The sequence below is a fragment of the Homo sapiens genome, chromosome 7 (genome assembly GCF_000001405.40).
Source record: "Homo sapiens chromosome 7, GRCh38.p14 Primary Assembly".
Classification (NCBI taxonomy): domain Eukaryota; kingdom Metazoa; phylum Chordata; class Mammalia; order Primates; family Hominidae; genus Homo; species Homo sapiens.
The window spans coordinates 126,839,269-126,856,511 of record NC_000007.14 but is presented as its reverse complement, the minus strand read 5'-3'; the positions used below and the strand labels follow the sequence as shown (position 1 = coordinate 126,856,511).

The 17,243-nt window shown below is 38.1% G+C and overlaps 1 protein-coding gene across 25 annotated transcripts in view; it reads left to right on the top strand.

Moving 5' to 3' along the window:
* GRM8 (glutamate metabotropic receptor 8) overlaps window positions 1-17,243 on the top strand; it is an 814,344-nt gene that overhangs the window by 396,430 nt on the left and 400,671 nt on the right. The window contains exon 7 of one of the 25 annotated variants that reach the window (XR_007060010.1): window positions 15,614-15,765. The exons of the other annotated variants lie outside the window; for them this stretch is intronic. The gene's annotated coding sequence lies outside the window, so the exon portion shown is untranslated. The remainder of the gene's footprint in view (window positions 1-15,613; window positions 15,766-17,243) is intronic. 25 annotated transcript variants of the gene reach the window in all.

The following is a 17,243-nucleotide window of genomic DNA, read 5'->3' as shown; positions in this document are numbered from 1 at the left end:
CTACTGCAGACAAAATTAGGAGAATAACAAACAAATGCAAATGAAAGTCATGTAGAAATGGTACTGTTTCCCCTATAAATTCTAATCACTCAAACTGTATGTCCATATTTCAACTGCATCTACTCAGATCCTTCAGAACAGATTGTTAAAAAAAAAATGTGGCGATGTTAGTTTTGTTATTTGATTTTTTAATTTATAAGCATTCCCTGCAGATATCACAGTGACAGCAAATTTATAGAGTGCTAATAAAAAGGATGCACTGGATGGAAATATTTTAAGATATGATATTTCTTCAAGTAATTACTTGAACCAGTAAGGTCTGTAGTTGTAACATTTTGCATATAAGCCTGTTCTTTTATTAATTATTTGAGTTCAGGAATAAAAAAAAAAGACAGAATTTACTTTTGGAAAAAAAACGTAGATTTTTAGTAATATATGAGAAGAAGTACAAAAAGCTGATGAAAGTTCATGCTTCTTAATCATTGAAGCCACTTTTCTCCTTTAAGGAAAGACTCTCCATTCTCACAATCCAGCATCTGGCATACAGCTTCACATGGCAAATGGCATCAGGAAGCCAGGAGTGTTTTCCTGGCAGCCTGGTTGGGCCATCTTCTCCTGGACACCTGCTGTGTTCCAGGGACTTTATCACCTCTTTGATTGCTGGCAGTTCACTTCATGATCAGTGTTAAGTATTTTCTCCATGGGAAGGAAGTGTGGGATATAAAAAATCATAAGAGGGCCGGGCATGGTGGCTCACACCTGTAATCCCAGCACTTTGGGAGACCAAGGCGGTTTATCACTTCAGGTCAGGAGTTTGAGACCAGCCTTGCCAACACGGTGAAACCCAATATCTACTAAAAATACAAAAATTAGCCAGGCATGCTGGTACATGCCTGTAATCCCAGCTACTGAGGATGCTGAGACAGGCGAATTGCTTGAACCTGAGAGGCAGAGGTTACCATGAGCCAAGATCACTCTATTGCACTCCAGCCTGGCTGGGGGATAGAACGAGACTCTGTCTCAAAAAAAAAAAAAAAAAGATAAATCATAAGGGCTGCCCTTTACAAATTCTGGTTCTGTGACTTCCTACCGTGACTTTGGACAAGTTTCCTAGCTGTTCTGAGACTTAGTTTTATCATCTGTAGAATGAGATTAACAGTATGTATCTTCAGGGTTGCTGACAGAATTTAAAATAAAATATGCAAGTTAGCTAGCACAATGTAGATGATCCAAAAGTGGTATCCACTCACCTCTTCACAAACTGTAGTTCATGGACCATGTAAGTCAAGAATTAAGGTACAACTATTATGAGTAAGAAAAAAATAAGAAATACTCTCCAGTTTCCTATGAAAGGATTCATATTTCTTAAGGTTATGGTCTACATCTGTAATTCAATTAAAAATATATAGAAAATATTCTTAAGGTAATAAAAGCCATCTATGACAAACCCACAGCCAACATTATACTGAACAGGGAAAAACTGAAAGCATTCCCCCTGAGAGCTGGAACAAGACAAGGATGCCCACTTTCACCACTTCTATTCAACATAGTACTGGAAGTCCTAGCCAGAGCAATCAGACAAGAGAAAGAAATAAAGGGCATCCAAAACAGTAAAGAGAAAGTCAAAATTGTTGCTGTTCACCAGTGATATGCCTAGAAAATATTTTTGATATGCACTATGGATAATGCAAAAATAGGTAAGTTATTATTACCCTTAAGGAATATTCACTTACAAATTAATTGTAATGCAAGGTAGGTAATGGTTTAAGAGAATTCCAACTAGCTACAGAAGCACAGTAAAGACAGAAATTACTTTTGGTTTAACAGCTAAGGAAGACAAAATAAGACATAGCAGCTAAGAATGAAGTAATCTTAACATTTGCATAAATGTAGATGCGTGGAAGAGCACTCCTGAGAAATTAAATTTCTCAAGGCATGATCCCAGCACCAGCTGCTTCTACATCACCTGGGAATTTGTGAGAAATGTAAGATTTTGCGTTCCACCCCAGACCTAGTGAGTCAGAAATTCTGTGGATTCTTCCAATGATGTGAGTTTTAACAAGCCTTCCAGGTGATTCTGATGCATACTAAAACTATAGCCACTAGATTAAACCATCCAAGTGAAAGTAAGAGCTGGGAAAGATAAAGCCATTTCAGGAGATGGAAGATAGTTCAATTTTTCTGGACTTCATGGTGTAAGAGAGGCAGTGGCAAAAGAAAAAGCTAGGTTGATGTAATCTAAATGAAGGATTTCCCTGTTACATTTAAGCTAGTTTTGGCTTTATTCCACTGGCGGAGGGGAACCATGGAAAAGGCTGTTTAGGGAACAGGGACAAAGGCACTGTGAGAGATTTTAAAACTTGGGAGCAACTCATTTTCTGCCCACTAAAAGGCTCACTGAACCAGAAAGAATTACAGTAGACACATTAAATGGTTTTCCCGGTTCCCTTTCTGGGAAGCATCCACACCCCACCCCCAGTTCTCCTACCCTGATGTTCACATACCAGTCTTTACAGCTGTGAGCCTCCTTCCAGCTATGTTTTCCCAGTTGACCACAACTTCCACTGATGGGCAAGCATGGGTACCTGACTCAGCCAGAGCCAATAAGGATCCATTCCTTTTTACTGCATAGTGAAAAGCAGATTTTATAACTGGGAGAAAGCAAAGGAGAGAGAGGAAAGAGGAAAAGCAAATAACGGAGAAGTTGGAGAGCAAGTGAAGAGAGGAGTGGGAGAGAACAGGAGCACACCTCCAGGCATATGGCCCCTGGGTCCTGCCCATTCCTGAGGCCCAGCACCATTCATAGGTGCCTTAGGTTCCAGGTACTGCCACTGTATCCTTATAGTAAAGTCCCTTTTTTGCTTAAGCTACTTGTTGCTCATCAAGGTGCAATGATATCGAATTTAAGTCTATATGTATACATAATCCTGTGTCAAAGATTACTTATGTAGAATGGGTCATGCATAAAACGACTTGGTTCAATTGTATGTTTTTCTGGGTCCAGGAAGAGTCCTAACTGCTTCATAGGTTAAGTCAGAAACCAGGCTTCCTGTCTCTAGAAGGCAGCCTCTGCAAGACTTGTCCATTAGAGGCTCACCTATTCTTTCTATGACCTGGAGCCTCTTAAAGTAAGTGCAAAATTTAACACAGCAAAATAAAGAGAACAAAGACTTAAAAAAAACAAACAAAAAAAACACCTTGCGACCTCCATCATCTGTTATTACATGTTACAGATCAAACAAAACACTAGTAACTGATGATGCAGAGAAAAGCAGATGCCAAATTCAGCATGCACTGTCTCCAGTGGTCTGATTCTTTCATCCTCTAAGGCCAGTCAAGTAACATCACTGTTAACATAAAATGGCTGAAAGAAACGGAGGAAGCAAGTACTACTGGTATTATTCCATCTGATACATCCTTCTTTGAAAACCCTGGACTTGTGGCCTATATTTATGAAACATTCCATCCATCACAAAATTGTTTTCTCTGAACTTTGAAAATAATGCGGATGCTAGCAAAGTTACTGTTTACTTCTAAACTGCTTGGAGCAACACTAAGTCATTTGAACAAAACTAAATTAAAAATGTTAATCTATTATGATTATTATGATCAAGGACAATCCAAAACTTAAAAATACTCAAAAAGGTAAAATTTTATCCATTTTTTATAAATACATATATTTAAGCATACAAATATATGAAAATAAATATACAGAAATAAATATAAATATATGAAAGTATATAACACACACATATTTTGATCAAAGATTAATTACACAGGCTGGATTTTGTGAGGAATAAGTCACACATCACTAGATTTTGCAAATACAACACTTGAAAATTCTCTTAAAGAAAATACTCTCAATACATTTTAAGATTTCTAAGAAGGTTTATTAAATGTTCCAATTTGGCACAAAAGCAATTTCTAATCTTTCTAGTTCAGTTCTATAAACCTATTTACTGTCAGCTCTTTCTTTTCATTTATTCCTTTTGTTAGGACTAGGATAATTTAATTAGGATAAAAGAGAAGGGTAATGATTACCGAATACCATCCTGCTATTGACAACCTGTGGCCCTTCCAGCTACTAACTGAGGAACTGCTACTGTCTTCGATTTTTGTGTTTGTTTGTTTGTAATGATACATTCCTCCAACTCCCTAGCTAAGCTTTTGTCTAATGATATCTAAGAAAGGAAAAACAACATGTCAGGCGCTGCTGTCTAGCTCAAAGCACAATGTTATGGCTCATGCTGGGCCTGGCTGCCTAGGATCTGGGATACACAGAAACAGGCACATAGAATGGCTGGAGCGGGGCACTCTCTGGGCAGGGAGGGATGACTCAGATGGATACAGTGCCATTGGCTTGAGCATACACGACAGGTAGACATCTCCATCCACGAATGAGATCGGAACCAGAAACAGCATCACACCTATGCATATTTAACACCAACCCCTCCAGCCAGTGGAGATGTGGGCCAGACTGCTCTGCCAGGCAGCCATCCTCCTCAGTCTCAGTATCTACTCTCTCTGGCATGGCAATACAGCACTCGAGCAACAAATACGTACTGAGTACTCTTTATACAGCTGTGAAAAAACCAAAAGTCCTGTCCCTATGGGGGTTAGGAGAGAAACAATTCACTAAAATGGTAAATATATAGTATATTAGCTAGAGAGTAATGTAAGTGCTAAGGGGAAAAATAAAGCAGGGTAATCTGGAGGGGAAATGTCAGGCGTGGGAGGTTACCATTTTAGACAGAAAGGCTGGGGAGGAACACCCTGAGATGACATTGGAGTAAAACCCTGGGGGAATGGAGGAAGGAATACATGGAGATAGCTGGGGAAGAAATTTTCTGGGCAGAGAAGACCATTGCAAAGGCCCTGAACAGTCATCTGGGCAGAGAAGACCATTGCAAATAGATGATTTTCTAGGTGTTCAAAGGACAACAAGGAGGTGTAGCTAAAACAGTGTGGGTTAGGATGGGGATAACAGGAGATGAGGTCAGATAGAAGATCCAGACCAAGCACATCATAGAAAGGCTCTTGGCTCTCTTACTTTGAGATGGGAACTTATTCGAGGGTTTTCCACAGATGGGTGGCATGATCTGACTTATTTTCTAACAGGATTATTCTGGCTGCTGAGTTGAGAATCGACTTAAGTGGAGAAAAGGTAGAATCAGGGTGGGGGCAGTTAGGAGTTATTCCAGTAGTCCAGGAGGGGCATGATGGTGACTTGGAACAGAGGGATAGCCCTGGAGAGGTGACAAGTTCTCAAATTCTGGGTACATTTCGTAAGTGCAGCCATCAGGATTTGCCAAATATCAGATGTATGATAGATAAAGTATATACGAGTCAAGAAAGGTTTGGGGTCTGAATAACTGGAAAGGATGGAGTTATCTAAACAAAGATGGGGAAGTGTACCCCAATAAGCAGATTGGGAGGGGACCATCAGGACACTAGATTCAGATATGTTCAGTATGAAAAGCCTTGTAGGTGAAGACTTTTTGGCTGTCATGGCCATTCATGGCTATAAGAACTAGGGATATAAATTTGAGAATATTCAGTATATTGATGGAATTTAAAGTCATGGGATTAGATGAGATTAGACAAAAGCAACCCCTGACATTCAGGAGCCTGCCTCGCACTGTTACCTAAGCCCTGGTGTTCCCCTGTTGCCCATAAACAATTGCATTGAACACCAACATTGGGCAAGGCCACTCTGACCACAATGGATCAAGAAAAAATAGACACAGACAAAACATGAATATTTTTTAAAGAAGATCAACTATCTTCCTATTTCGATTATTAACTGTTGCTTCTTTGCTAGTTACAGTTGTAGCTTTGCTCTAGTCTGCCCTTCTCTATAGATAAGATTTATTGAGATAATCATAGAAGTTTCAGACAGCACTCAGTCCACAGTGAAACTTCCCTTCCTTGGACTCTCTCCAAAATCATCCAACCAAATCCTAAACCTTGTAATAATCCTTTCTAACCTCATCTTACTAAAACTATCATGGTTACCTATGTATGAGTATGTGTTCTCCCTGTTGTAGTGAGTAATAAACCCAACTTTCTCAACTACAGGTGTGTTCCAGGTGTGTTTGGATGGAAGGGATTGACTTAGAAAATACATAAACAATATAAGAGCTCTAAGGACTGGGCCCTGAAGCACTCCAACACATAAAGGACAGGGAGATGACAAGGGGTCAATTAAGGATATTGAAAAGAACAGCCAGGGGCATAGAAGGTAAACCAGGAATGTATGCTGTTCTGGAAGCCAAGTGTAGATGAAAATGACCAACTGCATCAATTGCTTTAGAGCGGTCAAATAAGACAAGGACTGAGAGCCGGTTTGGCAACTTTATTAGTGACCTTGACAAGGACAGCTGGATGGTGGAAATTATGATTGATGTAGATTCAGGAGAGGATAAGGAAGAGAAACTGGAGGCGGCATGCATAGACAACTCTTTTAAAATATCTTGATGCAAAGGGAAGAAGAGAAAAAGCAATAACTGGAGGGTGAAGTAGTATCAAAAGAGGGCTGCATTAAGATGGGAGAAACAGCACTTTTCTATACTGATTGGACAAACAATCCAGTAGAGAGGGGACATTATGGTGCAGGAGAGAAAGTACTGTTGGGGCCGTGTTCTTTTTCGAATGGAGCTGGGACCTATTGTACAAGTGGAAGGGTTGGCTAAGTTGGAGCATGGTAAAGGGAGAGGAGATGGGTATGAAGGTATGCAGACCAGATGAGGTGGGTGGGAGCAAAGCTTAGGGAAGAGGTTCCTTCCCTTGTAATTGCTTCTGGTTCTTAAAGAATGGGGATGCAAGATCATCAGCTGACAGTGAGGATAGGAGAGGAAATATTTGAGGTTCAAGGTTTGAAGAGACGGAAGGAAATAGTTGTTTAGGAGAACGAAAGTAGATGGGGGTTTAGGGAAATAAAGAATGTTTGCTGAGCAGCATGAAGAACTTTCTTAAATTAAGCAAACATTAATTCATTTTCCATGTACTTATTCTTTCAGTAAATATTTACATAAACATATAATAGGAAATGTAGGAGATGAAGCTATGAACTCCTCTGCTTATTACCTTCTCTACTCTTTAATTGTGAGAATTCCTAAGATTATCTTCTCAGTTCCTCTTTTTTCCCTTTTAAAATTCCCTCCTTTGAGACATCATTCAATCCCATGCTTTCAGGTATAGTGTAGAGCTAGGGTAAAGTATTCCCTATATGCTTTCTCATCAAAACTAGACCAACAGTCCAGTAAAATTATAATGGGACAAGTATTTATCATTTTAAATTTTCTTTTCTTTCTTTCTGTTTTTTTCTTTTGAGACAGGGTGATATGGTTTGGCTGTGTCCCCATCCAAATCTCATCTTGAATTCCCATGTGTTGTGGGAGTGACCTGGTGGGAGGTAACTGAATCATAGGGGCAGGTTGTTCCTATGCTGATCTCATAATAATGAAGAAGTCTCATGAGATCTGATGGTTTTATAAGGGGGAGTTTCCCTGCACAAGTTCTCTCTCTGTGCCTGCTTCCATCTATGTAAGATGTGACTTACTCCTCCTTGCCTTCCACCATGATTGTGAGGCTTTCCCAGCCATATGTAACTGTAAGTCCATTAAACCTCTTTCTTTTGTAAATTGCCCAGTCTTGGGTATGTCTTTATCAGCAGTGTGAAAACAGACTAATACACAGAGTTTTGTTCTGTTGCCCAGGCTGGAGTACAGTGGTGCAATCTTGATTCATGGCAGCCTCGACCTCCTGGGCTCAAGTGATCCTCCTACCTCAGCTTCCCATATAGCTGGGACTACAGGCATGCACCACCATGCCCAGATAATTTTGTATTTTTTTGTAGAGATTGAGTTTCGCCATGTTGCCCAGGCTGGTCTCGAATTTCTGGCCACAAGTGATCTGCCCCCTTGGCCTCCAAAAGTGCTGGGATTACAGGTGTGAGCCATCATGCCCAGCCTGTCATTTTAAATTTTCTAGCAGCCACATTAATAAAAGTAAAAAGACACAAGGTAAAACTAATTTTAATATATTTTATTTAACCCAACTATCTGAAATATTATTTCAAGAAATAAGATAAACAATATTGACATATTTTACATTTTTTGGTGCTAAGTGTTCAAAATTCAGTGTGTACTTTTTCTTAGAGCACTTCTCAATTCAAACCAGCCACAGTTCAATAACACAATAGTCGTATGTGGTCTTAATGAACAGTACAGCTCTAGACTCTCATTTTCCAATGACCACTGGACACTTCTGCCTCAACATTCCACAAGAACAACTGAAAATTTTCTAAGCCAAATTAATCCTGTCTGCTCAGATCTGTTCCTCTTCCCGTCTTTATTACATTTCTATTTTATTTTCTCCTCTCTCTCATTTTCCATTGAGAAAAGGGTCAGAACAAGTGCTCTTGGAAGTCTCCTTTCTGTTCCTATCATCACACTAGTTCTCACCATGATAATTTCTACCTTGACAATTGCAATAACCTCCTAACTGGTCTCTCCATTTGTAATCTCCTCTCCATTTTATGCTTTGCTTCAGGAGAAATCCCTCTTGATCTCAGGTTTCATGATGTCACTTTAAGTCTTGCTGGAAGGACATTGGTGCAGATTTTAGTTCCCAAAGTGGATCCACCAATATATCTATCCCACATTTTCTCCTCATGCAACATACAGTTGATACTTGTCTACGTGGAGATGAGGTCCATATTCTCTCCCCTTGAATCTGGGAAGGCTTGTGATCAAAACAGATGCAAAGTTGCCTAACTTCTGAGTTAGGTCATAAAAGCAGTATGGCTTTCACCTGATTCTCTCTCTTGGGCTCATGTCTTGGGATCCCTGAGCCAAAATGCAAAAAGCTCAGCTATTCTGAAGCTACCATGTAGGAGAAATCATGTGGAGAGACCACCTGGAGACAAGAGATGTCTAGGGATCCCCAACTCTAATACTATTTGTTTGGTACTTCAGATGACACCAGCCCCTACACCTCAAGGGGCATCAGTGGATGCTGAGTGGAACAGGGATGATCTATCTACTTTACATCCTACCCAGATTGCAGGGTCATACGCAAAATAAATTTTGCTGTTGCTCATTCAGTTTGGGGCATTTTGTTACACAGCATTAGATATCTAGAACACTTGTCACTTCTCACTTTTTATCTTTGTATATCATCCACCTGCCTAATCCTAGGAGGTTCATTATGTACTCAAGGTGATAAGAATAAGTCTTTGGCACACACATACAAAAACTGGAAAAAGCTAGTGTTGTTCTATAAGAACAAATTGATTAACAGTTGCCTTTTACCTCATTCTAGTCTCTTACTTGTGTTGCATAGAAAATGAGGCTTGGGATATATTAGACAAAGTAAGGATAGCTTCTGTGAATGTCAACTGAACTGTGAAAGATACTATCAATTTTATATTATTTACCTTAACAGCACATCCAAAGTAAACTCATTTTAAAATATAAAGAATGCTGCAAACTAATTGTGTAGAGATAATTTTAAAAATAGGCATAAGTCATGCCTTTCTTATGATTATATTTAATAAATGGAGAATATGGTTTCTTGCATTTTATACTGTGGTGCAATAGGAAAAATACCAGGGTAGGAATTGTGTTTTTGATGTGTGTTCTGGCCGTGGTCCACACTGGGTAACATGAGAGAGTGAACTCAATAATTGATAAAGCTCTCCCTCTCCTTTAGAACTAAACTGCTATAGTCTTTTGTTTCTACTCTCTTTTATTTTAACCTTCTTTCTTCCTTCTCTCTTCCTTCTTTTTTTTTGCTTTATAACATATTTGTGGATTTTTATATTTTTTGTTAATAAATAGTTGGGAAGTCAAATGTCATGGTATTAATGTCCACAAAGCTGAATCTCTTATTGAATTTTTTGAATATCAGCTATGTACAAATGGGACATATTATTCAACTCCAGGGTTACAAAGTTCTGTGCTTACCAGAAAACTCATTACAGAAAATTTTGTTCTTTTCTTAGAATAGCATAGCCCTTTGGGCTATATCTTTCAGTAACCAAAGTTTCCCTCCTATAATGTTGCTTAGACAACGTTCTAAAGGTAAGATACCATTACACTTAAGTTCACACTGTGTGATTATTTTGTGGAGGAAATGATTTTGTCACCTCAGGTAGGAATTTGCAGTGGATGAGAGGGAATCATCTTCTCCTACATTTGGTTTTATTGATAAATGCTTTTGCATCTTATGTAGTCACATTTTTGAGTGAAGGAGTTTAATTTTTAGTTTGAGTTTTAACAGTAGATTTCCAAAGTTTCCTTGACAAACTCTTAAATCTAGAATGTCATATTCCACTTCTGAATTTGCTGCATTTCCTGGCTCCACATTTAGTATCTATATGACTTGTGCAACTTAACTGATCTTACTGAGCCCCAAATATGTGTACAATATTTGGAATTTTTATGAAAGATATATTTTATACTATTATATATATTTTATATTGCTGGAAATATAGGAGTTAATTATTTCCATTTTTTATAGGAAGAATAGAGTCAGTGATGATAATCTACCCTCCCCAAACTCCATCTAGCCCCACTCCCCTGCACATTTTTTCCCCATCTCCTTCTCTACATCACTCTAAGGGATTCACCCTGACCCTCTCTCCCACACATACCTTCCCTGACATGATATCTAGACTTCAAACCCTAGGACAGGAACTCATCCTTACAAAAAGATATTTGTTCCTTGTTTTAATGGAATTTCCTTCTCTCCATGATCTTATGTAAGTAATATAATTTTTGTTGTGTATATTATTTTTGAATATATAAGTTCCCAACAAAGATACAAATATTTATACATTCACAAGAAGTGGTTCTTTAAATATATGCTTTTTTGACTTGACTTTGCCTTGCTATTGGTATGAGATTGTACAAATGTGTTTTAATATTTTTCTTTAAGCTTTATTTGTTTTCTTATCAGGCTATGGTGTGTAAAGGAAGTTTAGTAATGAATGATTCATTTCTGTGCAGATTGTGAGATGGAAAAATGCTGATAAGTATCCTTTATTTTTACTCCTTTGGGATAAAAAAAAGGATAAGACTAAGTTGGCCTAGGTTGAGCTAAGGCATCTAGCATTGAAAGGGAAGATGGAAGAGCTGCTCATAGAAGCATATGTAACCTCCTGAGCCTTGTCCAATACCCTCTCTTAAACTGCTGAATATCCTTGTCTGGAAGGGATTTCGTGAACTATTTTTCTCCATGAGCACAAATATGTCACTAGTAATAAAGTTGCAGGAATAAAATAGTCATAGTCACCAGATATAAGGCAGCCCTTAAAGTTTAATGAAGTGATCTGATTACATTAAAGTCAATTCTCAGTTAATGGAAGACTGAATATTCATCTAACCAACCTCCATGCCTCTGTTGCTGAGTAGCCCATCACTACTTCTTGCTAATGGCCCAGAGGGCAAGAGGGGCAAGGTAAGGTAGAGATGGTGTGGGCTTGGAGTCAGGGCAATTAGGGTGCAAATCCTGGATCCCACTTACTATTTGTGATAGGCAAGGGCTAAGGACTAAATTCCGCCCTCTCTCACAAATAAGTTCATATGTTGGAGCCCTAACCTCCAATGTGACTATTTGGAGATAGAGCTTTTAGGAGCTTATTAAGGTTAAATGACAGTATAAGAGTGAAGTCCTAATCCAATGGTATTGGTGGCTTTATAAGAAGAAGAGTAAGAGAGATCATTTTCTCTATCTCTCCATGCATGTGCAGAGGAAATGCCATGTGAGCACACAGCAAGAAGGCAGCCATTTGCAAACCAGAAAGAGAGCTCTCCCCAGAACCTGACCATGGTGGCATCCTGATGTTGGACTTCAAGCCTCCAAAACTGTTAGAGAATACACTGCTGTTCTTTAGCCACTCAATCTATAGTGTTTTATTATGGCAGCCTGAGCAAACAGACAGCAAGTGACTAAACCCTTTGTCTCTTTGTTACAATAGAAATAATAATACCTACTTCACAAGATCATTGTGAGGACTAAAAGAGATCATGTACATAAGGACTTGGACATTTAAAGAAAAGAAGAAAAGTTTCAGCAAAAATATTGTCCATATTTATATACGATTGCAAAACAAGTTTGGTTACATACCCCTCACCCCATGGCTCAGACACTTTCAGAATGCTTGTTAAAAATACAGATTCTTGGACCCACATTAGACCTAAAGAATTAGGATCTCTCTGAAAGGGCTAAATAATTTGGATTTTAACAAATTCCAGATGCTCTTTTGTACACTAAAATTTAGGGGCACTGCCCCAAAGGAATGGTACAATAATCAGTGTCTCAAAATGTTGTTCTATAAATGCTTAATGCCAGGAACTCAGATTAAAGCAATTTATGTCAGTAGATTCCAATTGACAAGCAGAAGATTAACAGAAGTTCTTATCTGAAAGCTACTATCTGAGTCTGCTTGGCTATTGTTAATCAGCACATTAATTCTTTAGATGTACTATAAAGGACAGTGAGTGAGTGCTGGTTGTAAAATTAATTAAGATAATGTAATAACATCCCTGTGCAATTTTATAAATTGCCACCCTATTTAAATATCACTTTCTGATCAATAATAGATGAGAACACAGTGTGTTCAGGAAGAAAAAAGAACTGAAAGAAGTTACTGCTCATGATTCTTTATCTGTGCTGTCTTGAATAAAAAAGTAGCAGGTGAAGTTGTCTTTCTGTAGGCACATGTAACAGCTGAGCAGAAGGAAAACAGCAGCGCTGTTCCTCCCTGGCTCACAGAAATATTGACTCCTTTTTTAGTGATACTAAGTCTCATCTAAATGATTAAATCTTTAAAAAGAATGCCAAATACCCAGCAAATGGTAATTACAATGCCTAATCCACCTCCTCACTTCTTCGTGCAAGACAATATTTACTCTGGGTTATGTGTTTGCCAGAACAATCACAGCCCAGCTTCAGCTGGTGGGTGTTCAGCTGTATCTTTGCCATGCATTTTTGCAGGATGCTATGAAGACCCAACTGAAACTAAGAAGCTTCGTCAATGGTTAAAAATGTCTCACTAGAAATGTATTTGCATTTCACTTGGATCTCAATTGGATTTCTTTTTTTATTCCAAATAATTTTAGCTCTCTTCTCTCTTCCTTCCTTTGCTATGTGCCTAATCTCACAAGCCATATGTGATAATGAGTTTTTTTTTCTACTTTATAGTCCCCTTTAGTTTATATAATGGATTTAGTCCTTATTGAGCTTCTACCATGTACTAGGCACACTGCTAGTTACTGAAGTCCAGATCTGCCAAAACTGACATGAAATGAAACAGGAAGCTGAAATCCCAACACTTCATAGAGCATATTTGTCATGACCCTCACAGGATTATGTCAATCATTATGTGTTATGGATAGTTATCTTCTTTCAGGAAAGTTATCTTCTTTCATTTGTAAGATATTTTGTAAGTCTCATTATCATTTTTATCATGTTTGAACAATTGTTTGCAAATTAAATGCTTTAATTTTTTTCCTTCCAATTCCCCTCATTTTTCACAATTGTATTAGTTCCCTATTGCTGCTGTAAAAAATTACCACAAATTTAGTGTCTTAAAAGAACACAGGCGTATTGTCTTACAGTTCCGGAGTTTAGAGGTTTGAAATGGGTCTCTCTGGATGAAAATCAAGGTGTCAGCAGGACTGCATTCTTTTCTGAAGGCTCTAGGGAGAATCTGTTTTCTTGTCCTTTTCAGCTTCTAGAAGCTGCTTGCATTCATTGGCTTATGGACACCTTCTATCTTCAAAGCCAGCAATGACCAATGGAGTCTTTCTGATTATGCCTGCTCTCTGGTCTGGCTCTTCTGCCTCCCTCTTCCTCATTAAAGGAGCTTTGTGATCATATTGGGCCTTCTGAGATAATCCAGGGTAATCTTCTTATTTTAAATCCAGCTGATCAGCCATCTTAATCCCATCTCCAACCTTAATTCTCCTATGCAACATAATACATTCACACGTTCAAGGGAGAAAGACATGAACATCTTTGGTGGCAGGCATTAGTCTGCCTATCACAAATATGTAGTGATTCTTTCCTGTTTCAGAAGTTAAATGGTATTTAGCAAGTCTTTTTCTTCTTACTATATAGTTTTGGGTGGGAGTTCCTCTTCTCTTCAGCAGTTTGTAACTTAGAAATCACTTGCTTTCAGGGTCAGCTAAAGAAACTATAAAGACTCATCTGGTTTGCAGTATCCTATTGCCTCTTAAACATCCCTTTCTGGTATCCTTCTGCTCAGGACCATCCTGTTGTCCTCCTGGATCTACAGCTGGCTGTGCCTTTGTATTTTTCTCTTGCTATTTGACCTTTGTTCTCTTTAGTGAGTATTCTCTTCTCTATTCCATTTTATTGTAGGCAGAGAAACCATATTTAAATTTTTTCTTCAAATTATTGTGTTCTTTCTCTGGCAAAAACGTTAAATGGTTTAACAATTTATTGATCATATCTAACTTTTTCTGCCAATGTAGGTGTGTGAGCTTCTGTTTTATTCCACACTGTCATATTTATTCCTCTCAACAACATTTGTTTGAAAATAAAGGCTGGGGCCGGTCACGGTGGCTCACGCCTGTAATCCCAGCATTTTAGGAGGCCGAGGCGGGCAGATAACGAGGTCAGGAGATCGAGACCATCCTGGCTATCACGGTGAAACCCCATCTCCACTAAAAATATATTTAAAAAAAAATAGCCAGGCTTGGTGGGGGCGCCTGTAGTCTCAGCTACTCAGGAGGCTGAGTCAGGAGGATGGGGTGAATCCGGGAGGCGGAGCTTGCAGTGAGCGGAGATTGCACCACTGCACTCCAGTCTGGGTGATAGAGCGAGAGTCCATCTCAAAAAAAAAAAAATAATAATCCAATAAATAAAAATAAAATACAGGCCAGACTTCATTCAGATTTCTTTTATTTTTACCTAATGCATGTTCATTTTCTGTCTTGGGATCTATGTTACATTTAGTCAGTAAATGCAGTGGAAGTGACATTCTGGGACTTGTGATGCTAAGTCAGAAGACTTATACCTTCTATCCAAGACTCTATGAAAAGATACCCCACTCTCTGAGGCCACCATATCAGAGGGGCTAGCATAGGTGCTATGGTCAATTGTCCTGCTGAGCCCATTCTTCTAGCCATTACCACCAAGACTGCAGAAATGTAGGTAAAGCTGACTTGAGCTCTCTGGAGGAGCCAAACCACCAGCAGAATACCTCCAAGTGACTTCTGTTAATGCCATATGGCACAGATAATTTCTCAGGCAGGCCCTTCCTGAATTCTTGACCCACACATTTATAGCAGATGATAAGATGGTTGTTGTTATTATAAGCCACAAAATTTGGGGGTTATTTTGTTATATAGCAAGACATGACAAGCATTGCTGAATGGCTTTCTGGTCCTGATAGTGAATCATGCAGGAGAAGTTAAGGCTCATTCTATGTCAATTTTAAAGCTGGCATACTGCCAATGCATGCATTATTCTAGTACATTAAATAAAGGACTTCATTTTTAGGCTCTGTCAGAGCCTTTAATCTTTATATACATGTCTATTTGCACAAAAATGAAATATATCTTCTTTGTTACATTTTCAGATCTTCCTCTGATAGGGGCAAGAGTAATCTAACAAACATTGTTTATAAAAACAAGCTCTAACCTCTTTTGTGACATGAAATTGGTGTATAATTTCTACCGTTAAAATGAAAGAAAATTATTAAATTGATAGGAAATTATCTTTCTTTCGAAAGTAAGTATTCCCTTTTATTTATATTAGAAACTTATACAAAGTTCATTTTATTTTCTTGGTGTAAATATATTCATTAGCAAGTCATGCTATGGTGTGGAATTTGGGAAAGTTTGCACAATAAAAAAATACATAGTCAACAATTAACTTTTAAATGAAAAGTCCAAAGACATAAGTATTGATATAACATTAGTGTCTGCATATCTTTATAAGCCACGTGGTTATGATAACAATATAATGAATGAGAAAAAAACTATGCTTGAAAGTAGCAATAAATTCTTTTCCAATAAAAGATGAAAATACTGTATCATCAAAGTGTTAACAAATTTTAGAGTGGATACTATGAAAGTCAGTTATGAAATACTGTAATACAAAAGGAAGGATAAATAGTAGTATCCAGTTAGCTTTTAAATAAAAAGGTAATAGAGCTAAACCTAATTAATTATGATAACTTGATTCATGAATGACCTGCAGTTTCCCTTTCTATTATGGAAACAAAAATATTTGCTTGGAAATTTGGATAATTTAAGACTGCAGAGAAATGTTTAGCCAATTTCAGGTTAAGGGAAACTGTTTTCAAGATCAGATGCAATTTGCATGGAAATAACATTTTAATTACCTATCAGGCTTGAATACCATCAAAACTGATCCCAGATGGATACCTGATGGATTAATATAGTTTGATTTATTATATATGGTGGTGAAAAAACAACTAAAATTGCATTAAAAAAATTTCACCCATACAGATGTTTTCATTTATCAGACTTAGTTAAGCAGTTAGTATCTCTAGAAAGCTCCATATTGGGCTGATTGATGTAAGAACTTGAAGAATAAGTATGTACATTCAGCAAAGGGATGTCTGGATATGGAGTGGTTGGTTCATGAGAAAGTGATCTTGTGAATAATTCAATTAAGCACTCTTGAGCTCCCCAGTAAGGTTGTCTGATATCAAGCACCACTTCAGGTGAGCCGAGAGTTTTGGGAACAGAGTCAAAACTCTGTTCAGTTTGGCTAAGAACTCCCTTAACCAAACTGAAATGGACAAACCAAAATGCACAAAGTGTGTTTTAAGCCCAATTTCTTTTCCCAGTGGCTCTCTTCTATTCCCTTACCAGGTATCTCCTTCCTCTGTTATTCCCAGGTCATCGTTTTCTCGTCTCAAATTTGTAATTCTCAGTATCAGATTTTCTCAGCTGATGAAAAACTTGGTCCTAAATGTGAATGTATTCAATGTTTTACATTCTTTAGATGTCTTGCATCTTCAGGAAGAGCTGACTATTTTAATATCTGGATCTTTGAGCTAGAGACCCCTGAGTTTGAGTCTGAGTGATTCCATTTACCCAAAGCACTGCTTCTCAATATTCATGTGCATATAAATCACTTGGATATCTTATTAAAATCCAGATCCTAATTCATTAGATCAGGGACTTGAGCCTGAGATTCTGCATTTCAGACAAGCTCTCAGGTGATGTTGTAGCTGC